Source organism: Homo sapiens, chromosome X, assembly GCF_000001405.40.
Source record: "Homo sapiens chromosome X, GRCh38.p14 Primary Assembly".
NCBI lineage: Eukaryota > Metazoa > Chordata > Mammalia > Primates > Hominidae > Homo > Homo sapiens.
Window position 1 is genome coordinate 152,703,604 of NC_000023.11, and position 22,358 is coordinate 152,725,961.

The 22,358-nt window shown below is 46.0% G+C and overlaps 2 protein-coding genes and 1 long non-coding RNA gene across 10 annotated transcripts; 1 reads left to right on the forward strand and 2 right to left on the reverse strand.

Annotated features, from left to right (window-relative positions):
- Positions 4,658-5,788, reverse strand: CSAG2 (CSAG family member 2). 2 transcript variants are annotated; one of them, XM_017030023.1, is made up of 2 exons: positions 5,247-5,788; positions 4,658-5,037 (listed from the first exon to the last, which is right to left on the reverse strand). In XM_017030023.1, exons 1-2 carry the CDS (start codon positions 5,507-5,509, stop codon positions 4,968-4,970), a joined length of 333 nt encoding a protein of 110 aa, XP_016885512.1. In that variant the 5' UTR covers positions 5,510-5,788; the 3' UTR covers positions 4,658-4,967. The 2 variants fall into 2 exon arrangements, with proteins under 2 accessions (XP_016885512.1, NP_001382263.1); NM_001395334.1 differs by having other exon boundaries at positions 5,196-5,670.
- A 38-nt stretch (positions 5,789-5,826) lies between these two features.
- LOC124905224 (uncharacterized) lies at positions 5,827-10,200 on the reverse strand. The gene is made up of 2 exons (XR_007068348.1): positions 9,653-10,200; positions 5,827-5,972 (listed from the first exon to the last, which is right to left on the reverse strand). It is a non-coding gene; the product is annotated as an uncharacterized LOC124905224 (long non-coding RNA).
- A 782-nt stretch (positions 10,201-10,982) lies between these two features.
- On the forward strand, positions 10,983-15,004 carry MAGEA2B (MAGE family member A2B). Of its 7 annotated transcripts, none has more exons than NM_001321401.1 (6): positions 10,983-11,079; positions 11,244-11,325; positions 11,476-11,554; positions 12,354-12,473; positions 13,293-13,358; positions 13,439-15,004. In NM_001321401.1, the coding sequence occupies exon 6, from the start codon at positions 13,504-13,506 to the stop codon at positions 14,446-14,448; it is 945 nt and encodes a 314-aa protein (NP_001308330.1). In that variant the 5' UTR covers positions 10,983-11,079; positions 11,244-11,325; positions 11,476-11,554; positions 12,354-12,473; positions 13,293-13,358; positions 13,439-13,503; the 3' UTR covers positions 14,449-15,004. The 7 variants fall into 7 exon arrangements, with proteins under 7 accessions (NP_001308330.1, NP_001308329.1, NP_001308331.1 ...); NM_001321400.1 differs by lacking the exon at positions 11,244-11,325 and adding an exon at positions 13,045-13,142; NM_001321402.1 differs by lacking the exons at positions 11,244-11,325; positions 11,476-11,554 and adding an exon at positions 13,045-13,142.

Genomic DNA, 22,358 nt, shown 5'->3' on the forward strand with positions numbered 1-22,358 from the left:
CCGAGGCTGACCTCCTGACAGCGACTTCATTTTTCTTCTCAGCACTGCACCATGTCTCTCAGGTGACAAAAAGAAGGACCTCGAGGCCAGCGTAATAAAGCAGGCCTGGAGAACGCGACAATGAGAATCAAACACCATTTGGGGCTGGTGTGCACTGGGTTCCCTGAGAGCTGACACTGGCAAGATGTGTTCATTTCTGTCCAGCCCCAGCACTTTCAGAATTACAGCACATTTCCCCGGGTCACTTCCATGTGTCCTGTCTGACTCCGGAACCTATAGGGCCTGCTGATCAGCTCCTCACTGGTCCCCACAGAACAGCCCAGAATCCCCTGCTCACCTCCTGACAGGGAGCATTCCTTCTCACAGTAGAAGTCCTCTGGCTGTCCCGTCTCTCACCCAGGAAGCCATATGATATCAACAATCCTTTTGATATAAAAATTCACATGGGGACAGTGACGTTTAGACACCTGGTTACCACTCCGGTTGTCTTCAATACACTCTCTAATTGTTTTCTGAAAGGGCTGAGTAGTCTGTTTCTCCATATTATCTAAGGGTTCTTGTGTGATGTCACCCTGAAGTGAGAGGAATTTGGAACCACCTTGATACCTGAAATCAGACTTTCACAGGGCGTCCTTTTGGAATTCGCCTCTGAATACATGCACAGATAAATGGTCAAAGAGCAAACCATCCCTCATGAGTACTAGATGAGAAAAACCTTGGGAAATCCCAGTGGAACAAACATCTACTTACTGAGGCTGAATTCCTAAATTTCTGGAGTCCTCCAGGAGTCTAAAAACGATTCCTTGAAAACATGTCAACTCTAATGAAAGAGGAATAATTAAGCAGCCTTCTGTTTCTTGTCTGTTTACCTGCTCCACGGGAAAATACTGGCCTTTATTGTGCCTACAGGCACTCGAGAGGTGTTCAGGCTTGTGGAGGGTAGCAGAAATTCACAGGTTAACATTTTGACCGGGAATCAAATGGAGGAAAAATGCTCAGCCTACTAAGGATTAAAGGGTATTGCAAAGGGAAGCCTTCTCGCCGAGACTTCCAAGATTCTTGGGCAGTTAGTTGTGATCGTATATTTGAAAACATCAGTTACATATTTGACACTGGAAAAAGTTGGAGAATGTCACGGCAAATTTGGCCTTCTCAGAAACTCCTCCTAGAAATGAGAAGGGTAGTGTAATACCAAAGAATCACAGTTGTTTTTGTTGAGCACCTACTATGTAACAGTTTATGGGGGAGGGTATAGTACTCACACACATTTTGTCTCTGTCTCCTTCCTGGACACATGGGAACAGTAAAGTCCTTGCAGTTAGGATGGGTCATGTGACATTTCCTTTATACCAATATAGGAGCAGAAGCATTGTTTGTCACATCCAGGCATGTGGGAGCCAGTGTGCCATTTCCAAGCTTTCTCTCCGCTTTCACTAGCAAACATGGCAGCTTCATCTTGAGATGACGGAATCACAAGGTGGAAGCAGCTTGGATTCCTGGGTCCCGTGAGAGTGGAGAGCCCCTGGCAAACTGCATCAGAACTTATTTGCACATAAAATAAACTTGTGTTGTGGCAAGCCATTCGTGGTTGTTCTGTTGCAATGGCTAGCAGTTACTTAAACTGACATGGCTAGTATTTCTGTTTGTCAGGTTTAATTTTTTTTTATTTAAAATGTAGTATTGTACATATTCTTATTGCAAAACTTATAGAAATGTAGATAATTCACAATTTTCCCCTTTACAAATCTCCTCCACATTTAACAACGCCCACCACCCCCACCGCCCCCTCAGAGGTCACCACAATTAACGGTGTTGTATATTATTTTACTGCTGACTCTAGGCTTCTCACTGACAGATAAACTATAACAATATGTTGTTTTTATTTAATATACAAGAACAATGATATACATACTGATATTCTTTTATCACTTTATAAAATGGATGTAGGATCTTTCCACAACGGTAGATAGATAGATAGATAGATAGATCTTTCTCACTTTTGAAACCACTTTCTATAATTCTAAAGTAGACATGCACCACAATTAATTAAACTCTTTCTTCCTAGTGGACATATAAGTTGTTTCCCATTTGCTGTATGATAACTACAATAAAATCAACATCTCTGAATATGAATTTTTAGGCAAACATGGTTTTCTTATAAGAAGGATATATTAACATGGACACTGGGTTAAAGTGAAAGGGTGAAAATAGTTTAACATTTAAAATATTTCTAAAATGTTATTACAAAAGTGCTGTACCAATTCAAATTCTCATAAAAATCACAATTGATTTAAAATTCTGAAATGTGGACAGGACATTTCTTCTCTGCTTTGAGAAGGATTTGGTGAGACTGAAGAGGAGCCAGGTAATGAGAGCAGACAGGAGACCCTCAGCCCGTGAGGGAGGATCCAGGGAGGATCCTGGGGAGAGCCGTTGCTAGCGTCCATGAGAGAGACCACATGCGAAACCAAGTCCACAGAGCCCCAGGCAGGCTGTCACTCCGAGCTCTAAATCCAGACTTCAGGCCGGTGGGGTCAGGGGCCTGAGGGAGAGAAGGGGGAAGGGAGGAGGGAGGACAGGACAATGAATAGGAATAGAGTTGGGAAATCCCGGCAACATCATCACCAGCTGGAGGGGGCCCTGTGATCTGAGTGTTGGCTGAATGCACCAGGGCTGTGCTGGTCAACCTTCCCGCCCTCAGAATCCCCTTCCCTCTCTCAGGAAGAGCTTGGCTGACTCCCTGCGTCATTCTGGGCCAGCTACCTCTCTTGAACACTCCAGTGGTCCTTTGTACCTTCACCAGCGTCCCAGATGTGGGAACTGTCTTCATGCCTGCTGGGGGCTGGTGTTTTATCCCCCGGGGACCTTCTATAGAGGCTGGGCTATGTGAGTGGGTTGCTGACTGATGACCAACTGCCGAGACAGGCCAGGAATGCCCATGAGCAGTTGAAAGGGGCAGTGGGGCTGCATGGAGGAGAAATGGGAGGAGGAGTGCCCTGGGACTAGTCAGCTCAGACTCTGCAGATGAAGGATTGGCTGTGGACGTGCCTTGAAAATGTTCCAGTTGGCCACTGTGTCTCAGATAGCCTTCTGTGGCTTCTGAACCCTTGGCACAGAACGGGACAGGAGTCCTAGGGCAGTGACCGCTGGCGTATGTTGCCAGATGACAGTGTCTGGGGTAGGGGGCTGGACCAAGGTGTGTACGTGAGCAGGTTGTATGGCAAGGCATTGCAGGTGGCAGCTTTCCTTGTTAAACTGATGGGGACGTGTGGGGTCCAATACAGGAAGCATCCTGTTGGGAGCATCCTCACCTCCATGACAGTGTTTGGGCCTGGGGAGAAGGCGTCTGCAGTGACCCTCTCCGTGGTAGTTTCCACAGGGTTTCTGAACTCAACTGAGCACAGGTGAAGGAACTGTGGGTTTCTTCATGTAGGCAGGAGGCCCAGGAAGGGCAGACTCCATAATTTGAATCAAAGAATTCCCATGCCAGGTGATTTCATTCATTCCATGCACGTATTGATTCCTACAGAAAACTTTTATTCAATATATGCTGAGGAAACACCAAGTCAACAAAACAATAGAAAGTGGCAAGGCCCTTAATTCAGTCTGTAGGGAGTCGGGGGAGATGAAGAGGTGGTGTGAATCGCCCATCTGAGCCAGGGAAGCCAGGAAGGCAGAGCCAGACTTGGGGACTGGCAGTGTGCAAGAAAAGGAGCGACAGCCTGTGTCCAGGCCAGAAAGCTCTCCTTCTATTACACTATCGATCTGGTTTTCTTCCTGGATGCTGCCTGTGTGTGAAAGCAACTGCTGCTCTCTGTGCCTACCTGCCTCTGTTAGTAGGGAAAATGGTCATGGTCAGCGGATGCTCACTTCTGCTCACCTTGGATCACTTCTACTGAAGGGATGGTTTGACAACAAGAAGACAGGAAGAAACTTTTGGGGAGGATGAATATATTTTTCACCTTCACTGTGGTTGTGGTTTCATGGGACTAAACATTTCTCAAAACTCTTTGATTTGTTTCTCAGTACTTAGGAGAAAAAGTAAGCAGAAAACCAGGAAGGATATAGATGACCTGAAAAGCACCATTAACTACTCTGACTAAATAAAACAATAAGAAAAGCACCGCATTCAACAATAGCAGAATAAACAATCCTCTCAAGTGTGCATGAAATATCTCCCAAGATAGATGGTATTCTGGGCCATCAAACAAAGCTTACAAATTGAAAAGAATAGAAATAATAGATAGCCTCTTCTTAGGCCATAATATAATTAAACTCAAAACCAAACACCAAGATATCTGAAAAATGCCCAAATATTGGAAATTTTAAAATAAGCTCCTATATAACCTATGGGTCAAAGAGGGAGTCCCAGGAGAATTTTAAAAATACATTAAGTTGAATGAAAGTAAAAATGTACATACAAAAAGTGGGATTCTGCTAAAGTGTGTCCTTGAGGGAAATATATAGCATATTTTAAATGTTTATATTAGAAAATGAAATCTAAAATCAATAACCAAAAGTTTCACCCTAGGAAACCAAAGAACGAAGAGCAAGTTGAATTAGAGAAATTGTAGAGGATGCCCCCCTCCCTTCCCACACTCCCACCTCTTTCCCCTTACTCCCTACCCCTACCATTTGAGACACACAGACACACACATCATTTTGCAACATGTTCACTTTATTTTCATCACCATGGGGCACACTCTTTGGGGTGTAAAATGTACTCTACACCCTGTTGGCTATTTATCTGGGGTTAGACCTCTGGAGACTTTTCAGATAGACTTGAAGTCTCTGGCCTTGCCCGGGAATTACTGGCTGTCCGAAGAGAGACTGGAGAAGGTGGTGGTCTCCTTGCCCTTGTGGTCCCGCTATGGCTCATTTTGATTGAGTTCCTCGTTCGGCTGGTCAGAGTGGCTGGATAGTGTTGGCCCACTCCATTCCTCAGGTTTTTTTGAAGCGGCGGTCTTTTAGGGAGAGCCTTTTGTTCCTGGAACTTCCTTGATGGGTCCCTTTTCCCTTCCGGGTTGTCTTGGGAACCTAGAAGGAAACAGGGAGATCAAAGAAGGGCACTGGTTTGGGGAAGAGGATGGAGGAGGGGTGAGAACAGGGGCTTCATAGAGAAATGGTGCAGGCTGGGGTGGGGGTTGTGCCAGGGGAGGACAGGGTAGGAGTCAGAGCTTGGGTGGGCCGTTCACTTTGATAGGGCTTCTGGGCCAGGGTTGAGAGGATGCCTTCCACTTCCTCGCCTCTTTGGTGTTGGTGGGTGGTTGTTGGACAATGGGCTGGAGGCTCGTGGTTTCCTGGACATCTTCACCAGACCAGTGTCTCTCAACAGTCTACTCCAGTCCACCTGGTCTCTCCAAGCCTCCCCCAGGACAGTGAAGGCAGGCCAGCAGGCTAGAAACTCACAGCGCATTTTTATGTTAGTCTTGTGGTAGAATTCCTTTTCCAGGAAACCTTGGTCTTTTCTCTTAACACCTTCAACTAATTGGATGAGGCCCATCCACATTATGGAAGTTAAACTGCTTTACTTAAAATCAACTGATTGTAAATGTTGATCACATCTACAAAATACCTTCACAGCAACATCTAGACTACTGTTTGACCACACAGCTGAGCAGTATAGCCTAGACAAGTTGACACATAGTACTAGCCATTGCACATATCTTGCACCATACAGAAATGTAACTCAAAATGAACTACAGACTTTAAATGTCAAAATTACTTTTTTTTTTTCTAGGAGGAAACAAAAAAAAATTGTGTCACCTGAAGTTATGTCTTAAGTCAGCTCAGGCTGCCATAACAAAATGCCATTGAGTGAGTAGCTAAAACAACAGAAATTTATTTTTTTTCTCACAGTTTTGAAGTCTGGAAGTCCTAGATCAAGGACTGGCGGGGTTGGCTTCTGGTGATGGCCTTATTCGTGGCTTGTAGATGGCCCTTTATTAATCTGTCCATTCTTGGCCTTTCCTCTGTGCATGTGCAGAGAGAGAGAGAAAGAAAGAGAGAGAGAGAGAGAGAGAGAGAGAAAGAGAGAGAGAGAGAGAGAGAGAAAGGTCATGTAGGCACAAAAGTACTTTCTTCTGTCTCTTCTCCCTTCTTATAACCAAACTAATTCTATGGGATCAAGGTCCCACCCTTATGGCCTCTTTTAACATTAATCACTTCCCTAGAAGCCTCATCTCCAAATACAGACACCCTGGGGCTGAGGGCTTCAAAATATGAATTTGGTGGAGGACATAAGCATTAGCAAAGAATAGACACACAGATTAATAAAACAGAATAGAGCTCAGAAATAGACCTGCACGCATATAGTCAGGTGATTCACAACAAAGGCAATAATGGTGAAAGTACAGGTTTTCCAACAAAAGGTGTCGGAACAATTAGACACCTATACACAAATTATAATAACCTGGACATATCCTTACATATTCCATGAAAACTAACTCAAGATACATCATAGGTCTAATGAAAAATGCAAAAACAATACAACCTCTATAAGAAAACATAAGAGAAAATCCACATAACTTTGAGTTTGGTGATGAGTTTTTAAATTCAACACCAAAAGCATGATCAAGGAAAGAAAAATTTGCCAAGTTGATTTTATTAAAATAAAAATCTTATGCTCTTCAAAGGACAATGTTAAGAGAATGAAAACAGAAGCCACAGACTAGCAGAAAACATCTGCGGTACACATATGTGATAAAGAACTTGTCTCTACAATATATGCGAATTCTTAAAGCTCAATGATAGAAAAAATGAAAATAGTCAAAGATCTGAACACACACTACACAAAAGAAGATATACACATGGCAAATAAGCATAATAAAAGTACTGAGCACCCTTTGGCATTAGATAATTGTGTACTAAAATGGGATACCACTGCACACCTATCAGAATGTCCAAAATCCATAGAAAACCAAAACAAAGAATACAAGACCAAGAACAATTGCCAGCGAAGATGTGGAGCAACGGAAACTCTCCTTCATTGCTGGTAGAAATGCAAAATGGCACAGCCACTTTGGAAGGCAGTTTGGCGTTTTCTTAAAAAAATGAAAATAGACTTAGCACAAGATTCAGCAGCCATACTCAATCAATTTACCCAATTGATTTGAAAACTTATGTCTACATAAAAATTTGTATATGAATGTATACAATAGCTTATTTCATAATCACCAAAAATAGAAGCATCCAAAATGTATTTCATTTGGTGAATGGATATATATATATATATATATATATATATATATATATATATATAACCAGACATTGATACTACTCCTCAATGAAAAGGAATAAGTTCCAAGCCACACAAAGTTATACATGACTCTTCAGTTCATTATGCTAAGTGAAAGAAACCAGTCTAAAAAGGCTACATAGTATAAGATTCTATTTATATGACATTCTGGAAAATGCAAAATTATAAAGATGAAAAACCTATCAGTGGTGGCCATGGGGTTTATCCGACAAGCACAAGGGAATTTATCAGGGCAGTGAAACTGGTATGCATAATACTGCAATGGTGGTTCCGTGCTTGCTTTGGTCTGAATATTTGTGTTGCCACAAAATTCATCTGCTGAATTACCAAGGTGATGGTATTAGGCAGAAGGTGGGGTATTTGGAGAATGACTAGATCATGAGAGCAGAGTCCTCATGAATGGGATTAGTGTTTTTATAAAACAGACTCCACGGAGATCCCTTATCCCTTCTTGCATGTGAGGATCTAGGGAAAAGGCAGCTGTCTATGAACTAGGGAGCAGGACTCCACCAGACATGAAATCTGCCAGCACCTTGATCTTGGACTTCCCAACCTCCAGAATGTGAGAAATAAAGTTGCGTTGTCTATAAGCCACCCAGTCTATCACTATTTTTGTTATGGAAGCCCAAACGGACTAAGACAATGGCACGAGGCATTTGTCAAAACCCATAGATCTTTACAGCACAAAGAGTGAAGCTTAATGTATGTAAAGTTTAAAAGTAACTTAAGAGGTTGGAGAATCACGGGACGGCAGGTAGAATGTTCCACACACACACACACACACACACACACCTAGTTGTATAATAGATATATGAAACCACCACAATGAAGCAAGTGGGGGGAAAAGTTAACACATTTTGTACTCCATCAAAGAAATATATATTTTATAAAGTTTAAGTTGGCCAGATAAGTGTGTAACATAGTTGAACATTTGATAATCATTTATTTAATTTTTTAGATATGAAAACTATCGGCTTTTTGTTTTAAAAAAATCCTTATCTTTTAAAAATGCATATTAAGTTATTTAGAGATGAAATGGTCTAATGCCTTAGATTTACTCCACGTTATTCCAGCAGCTCATATGCAGGTAGGCGAGTGTTTAACTGGAACCAGATTTGCTGTGTATTTAAAGATGTTCATGCTCGGTATCAAGTATCCTGGGTTCATTATATTCGTTCCTGTTATTCTGTATGTGTGAAGGCTTTCCCTAATAAAACTTTTTTATCATAAATATGCCATTAAAAGTGAAATCCTAAATGAAACTGACCACTTTGTAGAAATAAAATAAATCAGTAACCAAACTGATCCAAAGAGGAAAAGAAAACTTTAACTATACAACAGAAACTGTACAATATTCAAAGCTCAAGCCACCCTCAAACATTCCAGGTTAGACAGCTTTGGAGGCCAATTTTACCAAATGATCAGGGAAAACTAACCACCGCCTTATATCAACTCTTCCAGAACATACAAAAGACTGACAATTGTTCAGTTCATTCTCCCAGGCTAGCCCTCCTGGATTTAAAAACCAGATGAGGACCACATACCTCCCCTGATGGAAAAAGAACACATCAAGTAAGCTCTCTTACACAGCAGTAAATATCCTACATAAATTAGTAGTACATTAAACGAATAAACAGGCTCTGCCCAAGGAAATAAAATATGATTTAACATTAGAAAAAACATCTGTTTCATTGTGATTCCTTACATACAAAATGGAAGAGAAAAAAATTTGATCCTGCCAACGGGTACAGAAAAAGCTTTTTAAATAAATTTAATATGAATTCATGGTAAAAAAGAAAATATTTAGGCAACCTATACTGAAAGAGAACTTCCATTTCCTAAAATCAACAGCAAACATACTTAAATGTCAAATGTTCGAAGAATTATCATTCAAGTCAGGAACGAGAAGTAGATGTAGCCTATTATCTCTACATTTGAAATCAGGATTGAGACACAAAGAGCTGTAAGTACCGAAATGAGTGAGTGGTATGAACATTGGAAAAACATGTAGTGTTTAGTGATAATACCATTATCGATCTTGAAAATTCAAAGGAAAAGGTATGCGGAATATTCAAGTGCATCGGCCTTCAGAACGAGGTATGCAACAGATTACTACAGCAAAATCAAAATCTTCACCTCACGAAAGCAATAACTAACTACAACAATTGATAGACAATATGCCACTTGCAATAGCAACAAAATCCAAGAATTACCTGAATAGAAGCCTAATAAAAATGTATAAGTTGTTTATAGAGGCAACTACCGAAGTATACTGACATATTCAGGAAAAAAGAGCTTGAAATCCATAGAGGAGTATAACATATTCATTCACGGGGAACACAACAGTGTAAAAATGTAAACTCAGCTTAAATTATTTACAATTTAGTGCCTTACCTGTAGCCGCCGACATTACAAGCAAATTTGGGCTGCTGTGCTCTGCTTCCCAAATCAACCCTGTAAATTTATAGAATGGAAACAGAAAGTAAAACACCAGTATCAGCAAGAAAATCTACACAACAAAACAGGGAAAGCCCAGAGTGAGACTGGAGACTGTGTTGAGCTGGTACTTGTGTGTGACACTTGCAGTGTCTGTTGGAGGGGGTTAGCGGCAGAGATGTTGGGGAGGTTTGTAGCCTGCCTAGACGGCAGATGAAAGAATGGGTAGAATAAAAGTTTTGAATTTTCCACTTCACTTCATTGCACAATCTGAGGCAGCCCCTGAAAACACGATGCCAAGAGCCCTAGGTAATAGCAGTGTCCACCAGGAAAATTGGGTTTGTTAAGGCAGCATGGCTCCAGAGTTCTGCTAATAACAACCTGAAACCAACAGAGTGGGAGAGGAATTATGTTTTTTAAAAAAATTCTTTCAACAGAACACAAAGACTGGAATGGAAGTAGACTAGGATATCAGAGTGAATCATGCATACTAAGGGTAGGTGTTAGTTCATAGAAATAAATATATATATTGCTACCTACATATATACTTAGAAGATATGTAAACCGTATTTCTTCAATTCAGAGAATAAATCATTTAGGACCAAAGGTTTGCCAAGTGTAGCTCTGGCTGGGGAGGAGCCCCCGTGGGAAGGTGTGCGTCTTCTCCCAGAGGTCACTATCATCGCGGGAGCTCCTGCCCTGCAGGGAGCACCTGGCCTGGCACCCGCAGCCATTCTCTACAAGGGGTGCAGATGCGCAGATGCGCAGATGCTCAGAGGTGACAGAAACAGAGCATCTCCCACCCATTCCTTCATCAAACAGCCAGGAGTGAGGAAGAGGACCCTCCTGAGTGAGGACTGAGGATCCACCCTCACCCACATAGTGGGACCACAGAATCCAGCTCAGCCCCTCTTGTCAGCCCTGGTACACACTGGCAATGATCTCACCCCGAGCACACCCCTCCCCCCAATGCCACTTCGGGCCGACTCAGAGTCAGAGACTTGGTCTGAGGGGAGCAAACACAATCGGCAGAGGATGGCGGTCCAGGCTCAGTCTGGCATCCAAGTCAGGACCTTGAGGGATGACCAAAGGCCCCTCCCACCCCCAACTCCCCCGACCCCACCAGGATCTACAGCCTCAGGATCCCCGTCCCAATCCCTACCCCTACACCAACACCATCTTCATGCTTACCCCCACCCCCCCATCCAGATCCCCATCCGGGCAGAATCCGGTTCCACCCTTGCCGTGAACCCAGGGAAGTCACGGGCCCGGATGTGACGCCACTGACTTGCGCATTGGAGGTCAGAGGACAGCGAGATTCTCGCCCTGAGCAACGGCCTGACGTCGGCGGAGGGAAGCAGGCGCAGGCTCCGTGAGGAGGCAAGGTAAGACGCCGAGGGAGGACTGAGGCGGGCCTCACCCCAGACAGAGGGCCCCCAATAATCCAGCGCTGCCTCTGCTGCCGGGCCTGGACCACCCTGCAGGGGAAGACTTCTCAGGCTGAGTCGCCACCACCTCACCCCGCCACCCCCCGCCGCTTTAACCGCAGGGAACTCTGGCGTAAGAGCTTTGTGTGACCAGGGCAGGGCTGGTTAGAAGTGCTCAGGGCCCAGACTCAGCCAGGAATCAAGGTCAGGACCCCAAGAGGGGACTGAGGGCAACCCACCCCCTACCCTCACTACCAATCCCATCCCCCAACACCAACCCCACCCCCATCCCTCAAACACCAACCCCACCCCCAAACCCCATTCCCATCTCCTCCCCCACCACCATCCTGGCAGAATCCGGGCTTTGCCCCTGCAATCAACCCACGGAAGCTCCGGGAATGGCGGCCAAGCACGCGGATCCTGACGTTCACATGTACGGCTAAGGGAGGGAAGGGGTTGGGTCTCGTGAGTATGGCCTTTGGGATGCAGAGGAAGGGCCCAGGCCCTCCTGGAAGACAGTGGAGTCCTTAGGGGACCCAGCATGCCAGGACAGGGGGCCCACTGTACCCCTGTCTCAAACTGAGCCACCTTTTCATTCAGCCGCGGGAATCCTAGGGATGCAGACCCACTTCAGCAGGGGGTTGGGGCCCAGCCCTGCGAGGAGTCAAGGGGAGGAAGAAGAGGGAGGACTGAGGGGACCTTGGAGTCCAGATCAGTGGCAACCTTGGGCTGGGGGATCCTGGGCACAGTGGCCGAATGTGCCCCGTGCTCATTGCACCTTCAGGGTGACAGAGAGTTGAGGGCTGTGGTCTGAGGGCTGGGACTTCAGGTCAGCAGAGGGAGGAATCCCAGGATCTGCCGGACCCAAGGTGTGCCCCCTTCATGAGGACTGGGGATACCCCCGGCCCAGAAAGAAGGGATGCCACAGAGTCTGGCCGTCCCTTGTTCTTAGCTCTGGGGGAACCTGATCAGGGATGGCCCTAAGTGACAATCTCATTTGTACCACAGGCAGGAGGTTGGGGAACCCTCAGGGAGATAAGGTGTTGGTGTAAAGAGGAGCTGTCTGCTCATTTCAGGGGGTTGGGGGTTGAGAAAGGGCAGTCCCTGGCAGGAGTAAAGATGAGTAACCCACAGGAGGCCATCATAACGTTCACCCTAGAACCAAAGGGGTCAGCCCTGGACAACGCACGTGGGGGTAACAGGATGTGGCCCCTCCTCACTTCTGTTTCCAGATCTCAGGGAGTTGATGACCTTGTTTTCAGAAGGTGACTCAGGTCAACACAGGGGCCCCCATCTGGTCGACAGATGCAGTGGTTCTAGGATCTGCCAAGCATCCAGGTGGAGAGCCTGAGGTAGGATTGAGGGTACTCCTGGGCCAGAATGCAGACAGGGGGCCCCATAGAAATCTGCCCTGCCCCTGCGGTTACTTCAGAGACCCTGGGCAGGGCTGTCAGCTGAAGTCCCTCCATTATCCTGGGATCTTTGATGTCAGGGAAGGGGAGGCCTTGGTCTGAAGGGGCTGGAGTCAGGTCAGTAGAGGGAGGGTCTCAGGCCCTGCCAGGAGTGGACGTGAGGACCAAGCGGACTCGTCACCCAGGACACCTGGACTCCAATGAATTTGGACATCTCTCGTTGTCCTTCGCGGGAGGACCTGGTCACGTATGGCCAGATGTGGGTCCCCTCATCTCCTTCTGTACCATATCAGGGATGTGAGTTCTTGACATGAGAGATTCTCAAGCCAGCAAAAGGGTGGGATTAGGCCCTACAAGGAGAAAGGTGAGGGCCCTGAGTGAGCACAGAGGGGACCCTCCACCCAAGTAGAGTGGGGACCTCACGGAGTCTGGCCAACCCTGCTGAGACTTCTGGGAATCCGTGGCTGTGCTTGCAGTCTGCACACTGAAGGCCCGTGCATTCCTCTCCCAGGAATCAGGAGCTCCAGGAACCAGGCAGTGAGGCCTTGGTCTGAGTCAGTGTCCTCAGGTCACAGAGCAGAGGGGACGCAGACAGTGCCAACACTGAAGGTTTGCCTGGAATGCACACCAAGGGCCCCACCCGCCCAGAACAAATGGGACTCCAGAGGGCCTGGCCTCACCCTCCCTATTCTCAGTCCTGCAGCCTGAGCATGTGCTGGCCGGCTGTACCCTGAGGTGCCCTCCCACTTCCTCCTTCAGGTTCTGAGGGGGACAGGCTGACAAGTAGGACCCGAGGCACTGGAGGAGCATTGAAGGAGAAGATCTGTAAGTAAGCCTTTGTCAGAGCCTCCAAGGTTCAGTTCAGTTCTCACCTAAGGCCTCACACACGCTCCTTCTCTCCCCAGGCCTGTGGGTCTTCATTGCCCAGCTCCTGCCCGCACTCCTGCCTGCTGCCCTGACCAGAGTCATCATGCCTCTTGAGCAGAGGAGTCAGCACTGCAAGCCTGAAGAAGGCCTTGAGGCCCGAGGAGAGGCCCTGGGCCTGGTGGGTGCGCAGGCTCCTGCTACTGAGGAGCAGCAGACCGCTTCTTCCTCTTCTACTCTAGTGGAAGTTACCCTGGGGGAGGTGCCTGCTGCCGACTCACCGAGTCCTCCCCACAGTCCTCAGGGAGCCTCCAGCTTCTCGACTACCATCAACTACACTCTTTGGAGACAATCCGATGAGGGCTCCAGCAACCAAGAAGAGGAGGGGCCAAGAATGTTTCCCGACCTGGAGTCCGAGTTCCAAGCAGCAATCAGTAGGAAGATGGTTGAGTTGGTTCATTTTCTGCTCCTCAAGTATCGAGCCAGGGAGCCGGTCACAAAGGCAGAAATGCTGGAGAGTGTCCTCAGAAATTGCCAGGACTTCTTTCCCGTGATCTTCAGCAAAGCCTCCGAGTACTTGCAGCTGGTCTTTGGCATCGAGGTGGTGGAAGTGGTCCCCATCAGCCACTTGTACATCCTTGTCACCTGCCTGGGCCTCTCCTACGATGGCCTGCTGGGCGACAATCAGGTCATGCCCAAGACAGGCCTCCTGATAATCGTCCTGGCCATAATCGCAATAGAGGGCGACTGTGCCCCTGAGGAGAAAATCTGGGAGGAGCTGAGTATGTTGGAGGTGTTTGAGGGGAGGGAGGACAGTGTCTTCGCACATCCCAGGAAGCTGCTCATGCAAGATCTGGTGCAGGAAAACTACCTGGAGTACCGGCAGGTGCCCGGCAGTGATCCTGCATGCTACGAGTTCCTGTGGGGTCCAAGGGCCCTCATTGAAACCAGCTATGTGAAAGTCCTGCACCATACACTAAAGATCGGTGGAGAACCTCACATTTCCTACCCACCCCTGCATGAACGGGCTTTGAGAGAGGGAGAAGAGTGAGTCTCAGCACATGTTGCAGCCAGGGCCAGTGGGAGGGGGTCTGGGCCAGTGCACCTTCCAGGGCCCCATCCATTAGCTTCCACTGCCTCGTGTGATATGAGGCCCATTCCTGCCTCTTTGAAGAGAGCAGTCAGCATTCTTAGCAGTGAGTTTCTGTTCTGTTGGATGACTTTGAGATTTATCTTTGTTTCCTGTTGGAATTGTTCAAATGTTCCTTTTAACAAATGGTTGGATGAACTTCAGCATCCAAGTTTATGAATGACAGTAGTCACACATAGTGCTGTTTATATAGTTTAGGGGTAAGAGTCCTGTTTTTTATTCAGATTGGGAAATCCATTCCATTTTGTGAGTTGTCACATAATAACAGCAGTGGAATATGTATTTGCCTATATTGTGAACGAATTAGCAGTAAAATACATGATACAAGGAACTCAAAAGATAGTTAATTCTTGCCTTATACCTCAGTCTATTATGTAAAATTAAAAATATGTGTATGTTTTTGCTTCTTTGAGAATGCAAAAGAAATTAAATCTGAATAAATAATTCTTCCTGTTCACTGGCTCATTTCTTTACCATTCACTCAGCATCTGCTCTGTGGAAGGCCCTGGTAGTAGTGGGGATTCTAAGGTAAGCCAGACTCACGTCTACCCATAGGGTCATAGAGTCTAGGAGCTGCAGTCATGTAATTAAGGTGGCGAGAAGTCCTCTAGGATGTAGTGGAAATGTAAGACAGGGGTGAGGGTGTGGGGTTCCAGGTGAGAGTGGTGAGTATAAATGCCCTGAGCTGGGGCAATTTGGGATCTGGGAACCTGCAGTTCCTTCTGAAGGAGCTGATTCTAATGATGCCCGGTGGGTCCAGGGCCAGATTCTCAGAGGGTGAGAGAAAAGCCTGGAATGGAATGCTACCCTGAGCAGTTTCTTTAGGATGGGGATGAAGAGAGAGGAATCTCCACCTGGGGCTGGAATGGAAGGTGTCCTGTGTTTTTGCCCAATGCTGTTGAACACAGCCCAAGATCTAGGTGATGGACACCCATCATCTGCAAGGGTTTCCTGAGCGATAAGGCTGAATTTCCCAGGAAGGGTGACCCAGAAGCCACTGGCCAGGTGCTTTTCTTTTTTTTTTTTTTTTTTTTTTTTTTTTTTTTTTTTTTTGAGACGGAGTCTCGCTCTGTCGCCCAGGCTGGAGTGCAGTGGCGGGATCTCGGCTCACTGCAAGCTCCGCCTCCCGGGTTCACGCCATTCTCCTGCCTCAGCCTCCCAAGTAGCTGGGACTACAGGCGCCCGCCACTACGCCCGGCTAATTTTTTTTGTATTTTTAGTAGAGACGGGGTTTCACCGTTTTAGCCGGGATGGTCTCGATCTCCTGACCTCGTGATCCGCCCGCCTCGGCCTCCCAAAGTGCTGGGATTACAGGCGTGAGCCACCGCGCCCGGCCGGCCAGGTGCTTTTCTGCCAGGCAGGGAGAGCCAGAGCTGACTCCATTAAAAAGGCATTCTAACTAGGTTATCTCAAGTGCAATTTGACCAATTGTAAGCACGGGCTAGATTCTGGATGGTAACAAAGTGGATGAATATAGTGGTTTGGATGGGAAAGCAGCTGGGAGAGAGGGAAGGAGTTGGTCTTTGACTCACATTCTAGGAGCTTTGAGCTGCACCTGGCTGGGCAAAACTCCCGCACAACCAAATTTTGAAGTGCATTCTCTAAGAGGAAATACTTAACTGAATTTTATGGAAGAAGCTTCTGTTTGGGGCTAATTATTCCATGTCCTATTGAGCTGTATGTTCTCTGATAAGTCCTGGAGAACAACGACAACAACAACAAAATCCCAGTGTTCGGGCCTCGGGTTAAAGCATATTGGAAATAACAGCCATCCGCCATTTGTGAAACTTCCAATTTACACCAGGCCCGGAGCCAGGTGGTTCACCTGCGTTGCATACACTCCGACTGTCCTACTAGACAGGCCTTATCACATCTGCTTACAGATGAAGAATCCAGGGCTTACAGAGCTTGTGAATTGGGATATAAGAACAGGGTATTTCCTGGGTATTTCTCAGTATCACGTGGCTAGTAAGGAACAGGGCTGGAACCAGACCCCTGGCATGAATTCCTTTAGAGCCCATGCTGTCCCCACTTCTCCGAGCCCGAGGCTGACCTCCTGACAGCGACTTCATTTTTCTTCTCAGCACTGCACCATGTCTCTCAGGTGACAAAAAGAAGGACCTTGAGGCCAGCATAATGAAGCAGGCCTGGAGAACGCGACAGTGAGAATCAAACACCATTTGGGGCTGGTGTGCGCTAGGTTCCTTGAGAGCTAACTCTGCCCAGTTGTGGGCATTTCTCTGCAGCCCCAGCACTTTCAGAATTACAGCACATTTCCCCGGGTCACTTCCATGTGTCCTGTCTGACTCTGGAACCTATAGGGCCTGCTGATCAGCTCCTCACTGATCCTCACAGAACAGCCCAGAATCCCCTGCTCACCTCCTGACAGGGAGCATTCCTTCTCATAGTAGAAGTCCTCTGGCTGTTCCGTCTCTCACCCAGGAAGCCATATGATGTCAAAAACCCTTTTGTATAAAAACTCACACGGGGACAGTGACGCTTAGACACTTGGTTACCACTCTGGTTGTCTTCAACACACTCTCTAATCGTTTTCTGAATGGGCTGAGGAGTCTGATTCGCCATATTATCTAAGGGTTCTTGTGTGATGTCACCCTGAAGTTAGAGGGATTTGGAACCACCTTGATACTTGAAATCGGACTTTCACAGGGCGTCCTTTTGGAATTCGCCTCTGAATACATGCACAGATAAATGATCAAAGAGCAAACCGTCTCTCATGAGTATTAGATGAGAAAAACCTTGGGAAACCCCAGTGGAACAAACATCTACTTACTGAGGCTGAATTCCTAAATTTCTGGAGTCCTCCAGGAGTTTAAAAACTATACCTTGAAAACACGTCAACTCTAATGAAAGAGGAATAATTAAGCAGCCTTCTGTTTCTTGTCTGTTTACCTGCTCCACAGGAAAATACTGGCCTTCAGCGTGCCTACCTCGACAGGTGTACAGGCGTGTGGAGGGTAGCAGAAATTCACAGGTTAACATTTTGACCAGGAATCAAATGGAGGAACAATTCTCAGCCTACTAAGGATTTAAAGGATATTACAAAGGAAAGCCTTCCTGCTGAGACTTTCAAGATTCTTGAACAGTTAGTTGTGATCGTATGTTTGAAAACATCAGTCACATATTTGACACTGGAAAACGCTGGAGAACTTCAAGGTAAATTTGGCCTTCTCAGAAACTCCTCCTAGAAATGAGAAGGGTAGTATAATACCAAATGATCATAGTTGCTTTTTGTTGAGCACCCACTATGTAACAGTTTATGGGGAAGGGTATAGTACTCACCCACATTTTGTCTCTGTCTCCTTCCTGGACACATGGGAACAGTAAAGTCCTTGCAGTTAGGATCATGTGACTTTTCCTTTACACCAATACAGGAGCAGAAGCATTGTTTGTCACATCCAGGCATTTGAGAGCCAGTGTGCCATTTCCATGCTTTCTCTCCGCTTTCAACAGCAAACATGGCAGCTTCATCTTGAGATGACGGAATCAAAAGGTGGAAGCAGCTTGGATCCCTGGGTCATGTGAGAGTGGAGAGCCCCTGCCAAACCGCATCAGAACTTATTTGCACATAAAATAAACTTCTGTTGTGTCAAGCCATTCATGGTTGTTCTGTTGCATCAGCTAGCAATTACTTAAACTGACACGGCTAGTATTTCTGTTGTCAGTATTAAATATTTTTTATTTAAAATGTAGTTTGGTATATATTCTTATTTCAAAAATGATAGAAATGTAGATAATTCACAATTTTTTTTTTACAAAGCTCCTCCACAGTTAACAACACCCCCCGCCCCCCCGCAGAGGTCACCACAATTAACAATGTTGTGTATTATTTTACTGCTGACTCTAGGCTTTTCACTGACAAACTATAACAATATATTATTTTTATTCAATATACAAGAACAATGACATACATACTGATCTGCTTTTATCACTTTATAAAATGCATGTAGGATCTTTCGACAACAGTATAGATGATAGATAGATAGATAGATAGATAGATAGATAGATAGATAGATAGATAGATAGAGACAGGTAGATCTTTCTCACTTTTGAAACCACTTTCTATAATTCTAAAGTAGACATGCACCAAAATTAATTAAACTCTTTCTTCCTAATGGACATATAAGTTGTTTCCCATTTGCTATATGATAAATAGAATAAAATAAACATCTCTGCCTATGAATTTTAGGCAAACATGGTTTTCTTATAAGAAGGCTATATTAACATGGACATTGGGTTAAAGTGAAAGGGTGAAAATAGTTTAACATTTAAAATATTTCTAAAATGTTATTACAAAAATGCTGTACCAATTCAAATTCTCATAAAAATCACAATTGATTTAAAATTCTGAAGTGTGGACAGGATATTTCTTCTCTGCTTTGAGAAGGATTTGGTGAGACTGAAGAGGAACCAGGGAAGGAGAGCAGACAGGAGACCCTCAGCCTGTGAGGGAGGATCCAGGGAGGATCCAGGAGAGAGCCATTGCTAGTGTCAATGACAGAGAGCACATGCAAAACCAAGTCCACTGAGACCCAGGCAGGCTGGCACTCCGAGCTCTAAATCCAGACTTCAGGCCGGTGGGGTCAGGAGCCTGAGGGAGAGAAGGGGGAAGGGAGGGGGCAGGACAGGACAATGAACAGGAATAGGCTTGGGAAATCCTGGCACCATCATCACCAGCTGGAGGAGGCCCTGTGATCTGAGTGGGTAAGCCTGTTGGCTGAATGCACCAGGGCTGTGCTGGTCAACCTTCCCGCCCTCAGAATCCCCTTCCCTCTCTCCGGAATAGTTTGGCTGGCTCCCTGCATCATTCTGGGCCAGCTACCTCTCTTGAACCCTCCAGTGGTCCTTTGCACCTTCGCCAGCATCCCAGATCTGGGAGAGGCCTTCATGCATGCTGGGGGCTGGTGTTTTATCCCCTGGGGGCCCTCCATAGAGGCTGGGCTATGTGAGTGTGTTGCTGACTGATGACCAACTGCCAAAACAGGCCAGGAATGCCCATGAGCAGTTGAAAGGGGCAGTGGGGCTGCATGGAGGAGAAATGGGAGGAAGAGTGCCCTGGGACTAGTCAGCTCAGACTCTGCAGATGAAGGATTGGCTGTGGACGTGCCTTGAAAATGAACCAGGTGGTGACTGCGTCTCAGATGGACTTCTGTGGCTTCTGAACTCTTGGCACACAAGAGGACTGGTGTCGTAGGGCAGTGATCGCTGGACTATGTTGCCAGCAGACACTGTCTGGCGTACAGGGCTGGCCCAAGGTGTGTACATGAGCAGGTTGTATGGCAAGGCGTTGGAGTTGGCAGCCTTCCTTGTTAAACTGATGGGGATGTGTGGGGTCCAATAAAGGAAACATCATGCACCATCCTGTTGGGAGCATCCTCACCTCCATGACGGTGTTTGGGCCTGGGGATAAGGCATCTGTAGTGACCCTCTCGTTGGTAGTTTCCACGGGTTTTTCTGAGCTCAAGTGAGCACAGGTGAAGGAACTGTGGGTTTCTTCATGCAGGTCGGAGGCCCAGGCCAGACCGACTCCATAATTTGAACCAAAGAATTCCCATGCCTGGTACTTTCATTCATTTCATGCACTTATTGATTCCTACAGAAAACTTTTATTCAATATATGCTGAGGAAACACCAAGTCAAAAAAACACAAGAAAGCAGCAGTGCCCTTAACTCAGTCTATGGGGGGCGTGAGGGAGATGGTGAGGTGGAAAGACACGGAAGAGTTTTAGGAAGTGAGGGACTGTGAACTGATGGAGAGAATCTCTATTGACCTGACTTCTGAGGTTGGTGATGTTGCTCCCTTAGTTGAGAGGGAGGGAGAAGGGTAAGAGTTGGTGGTGATTTGATGAAGAAGAGTGTGGAGGATGAGATCCGTGGGCAGCATTTTAAAGCTCAGTCTAGGATTTTTTTAGACATGGATGTTTTATGAAAATATATAGTGTTTTAACACCCACAGGTAGTGATGCACGTATTGATATGTCACATGCCTTTGCCACGTAATAAGATGAACGCAAGGTCTTCCCACAACTATACCTACAATCGACATCACTTTTGTAAGTATTCCCTAGAATTCTAAAGTAGGTGTGTGCCATAGTTAATTAAACCTTTCCTTTCCTGATAAACACATACGTTCATTCCCATTTGTTGCTATGATTAATAGAACTGAAATAAACATACGTTTTTGGACAGATATGCATGCTTTCCAATAAGAAAGATATAGTAACATGGACATTGGGTTAAAGTGGAAATGGTGTGAATAGTTTAACTTTTTAGAAGTATTGTCAAAATTTTATTCCAAAAATACTGTACCAATTAATTTTCTCACAAATTAATAGATGTGAATATCCTACACTCACAGAAAGATTTTGTGTTATCAATCTTCTCATTTTTGGTGAAAATTATGAATAAAATTTAGTGAAGAAATATTGTTTCACTGTTATTTTGTGTCTTTGCTTTCTCTAATTAGGTTAAGTACACACTAACTTAATCCCTCACCCATATGAAGTTGGATTTATACAGTGACATCCTGAGTAACATTTCTCTAGGCATGGTTTAACATTCTGAAATGGGGACAGGACATTTCTCTTGTGCTTTGAGAAGGAATTGGTCAGAATGAACAGGAGCCAGGGAAGGAGAGCAGACAGGACACCCTCAGCCCATGAGGGTAATCGGGAGGATCCAGCACTGATATGGTTTGATTGTTTCCCCACCCAAATCTCATCTTGAATTGTAGCTCCCATAACCTCCACGTGTCATGGGAGGGATCAGGTGGGAGGTAATTGAATCACAGGGATAAGTTTTTCCCATGCTGTTCTCGCCGTAGTAAATAAGTCTTAGGAGATCTGATGTTTTCACAAAGGGCAGTTCCCCTGCACATGCTCTCTTGCCTGCTGCCATGTGAGACATATCTTTGCTCCTCCTTCCCCTTCTGCCATGATTGTGAGGCCTTCCCAGCCATGTAGAACTGTCAGTCCATTAAACCTCTTTTTTTTATTATTATAAATTACCCAGTCTCAGGTATTTCTTCATAGCAGTATGAAAATGAACAAATACAAGGGGAGAGCAATGGCCAGAGTCCATGAGAGAGACCGTATATGAAACCAAGTCCACATTTCCCCAGGCAGGCTGGCATTCAGAGGTCTGAATCCAGAGTTCAGCCCGGTGGAGGCAGGGACCTGAGGGAGAGAAGGGGGAAGAGAGGAGGGAGGGCAGGACAATGAAAATGAATAGGCTTGGGAAATTCCAGCACCATCATCACTAGCTGGAGGGGGCCGTGTGATCTGAATGGGCAGGCCTGTTGATGGAATGCACCAGCGATGTGCTGGAGACCCAACCCTCCCTCAGAATCCCCTTCCCTCTCTCACGAAGAGTATGGCTGGCTCCCTGCATCATTCCGGGCAAGCTCCCTCTCTTGACCACTCCAGTGGTCGTGTGTACCATTTCCAGCGTCCCGGGGCAGGGAGTTGTCTCATGCCTGCTGGGGGCTGCTGTTTTATCCCCTGTGAACTCTCCATGGAGCCTGGACTATGTGAATGGGTTGCTAACTTTTGAGCAACAGCCAAGACAGGCCAGAAATATTTATGAGCAGTGGAAGGTGAGGGTGGCAGCAAGGCTGCATGGAGGGGAATTTGGAGGAAGAGTACCCTAGGACTAGTCAGCTCCGACTCTGCAGATGAAGGATTGGCTGTGGATGTGCAATGAGAATGATCCAGGTGGTGACCATGTCTCAGATGGACTTCTGAGGCTTCTGAGCTCTTGAGACAAAAGCAGACAGGTATCCTGGGGCTCTAATC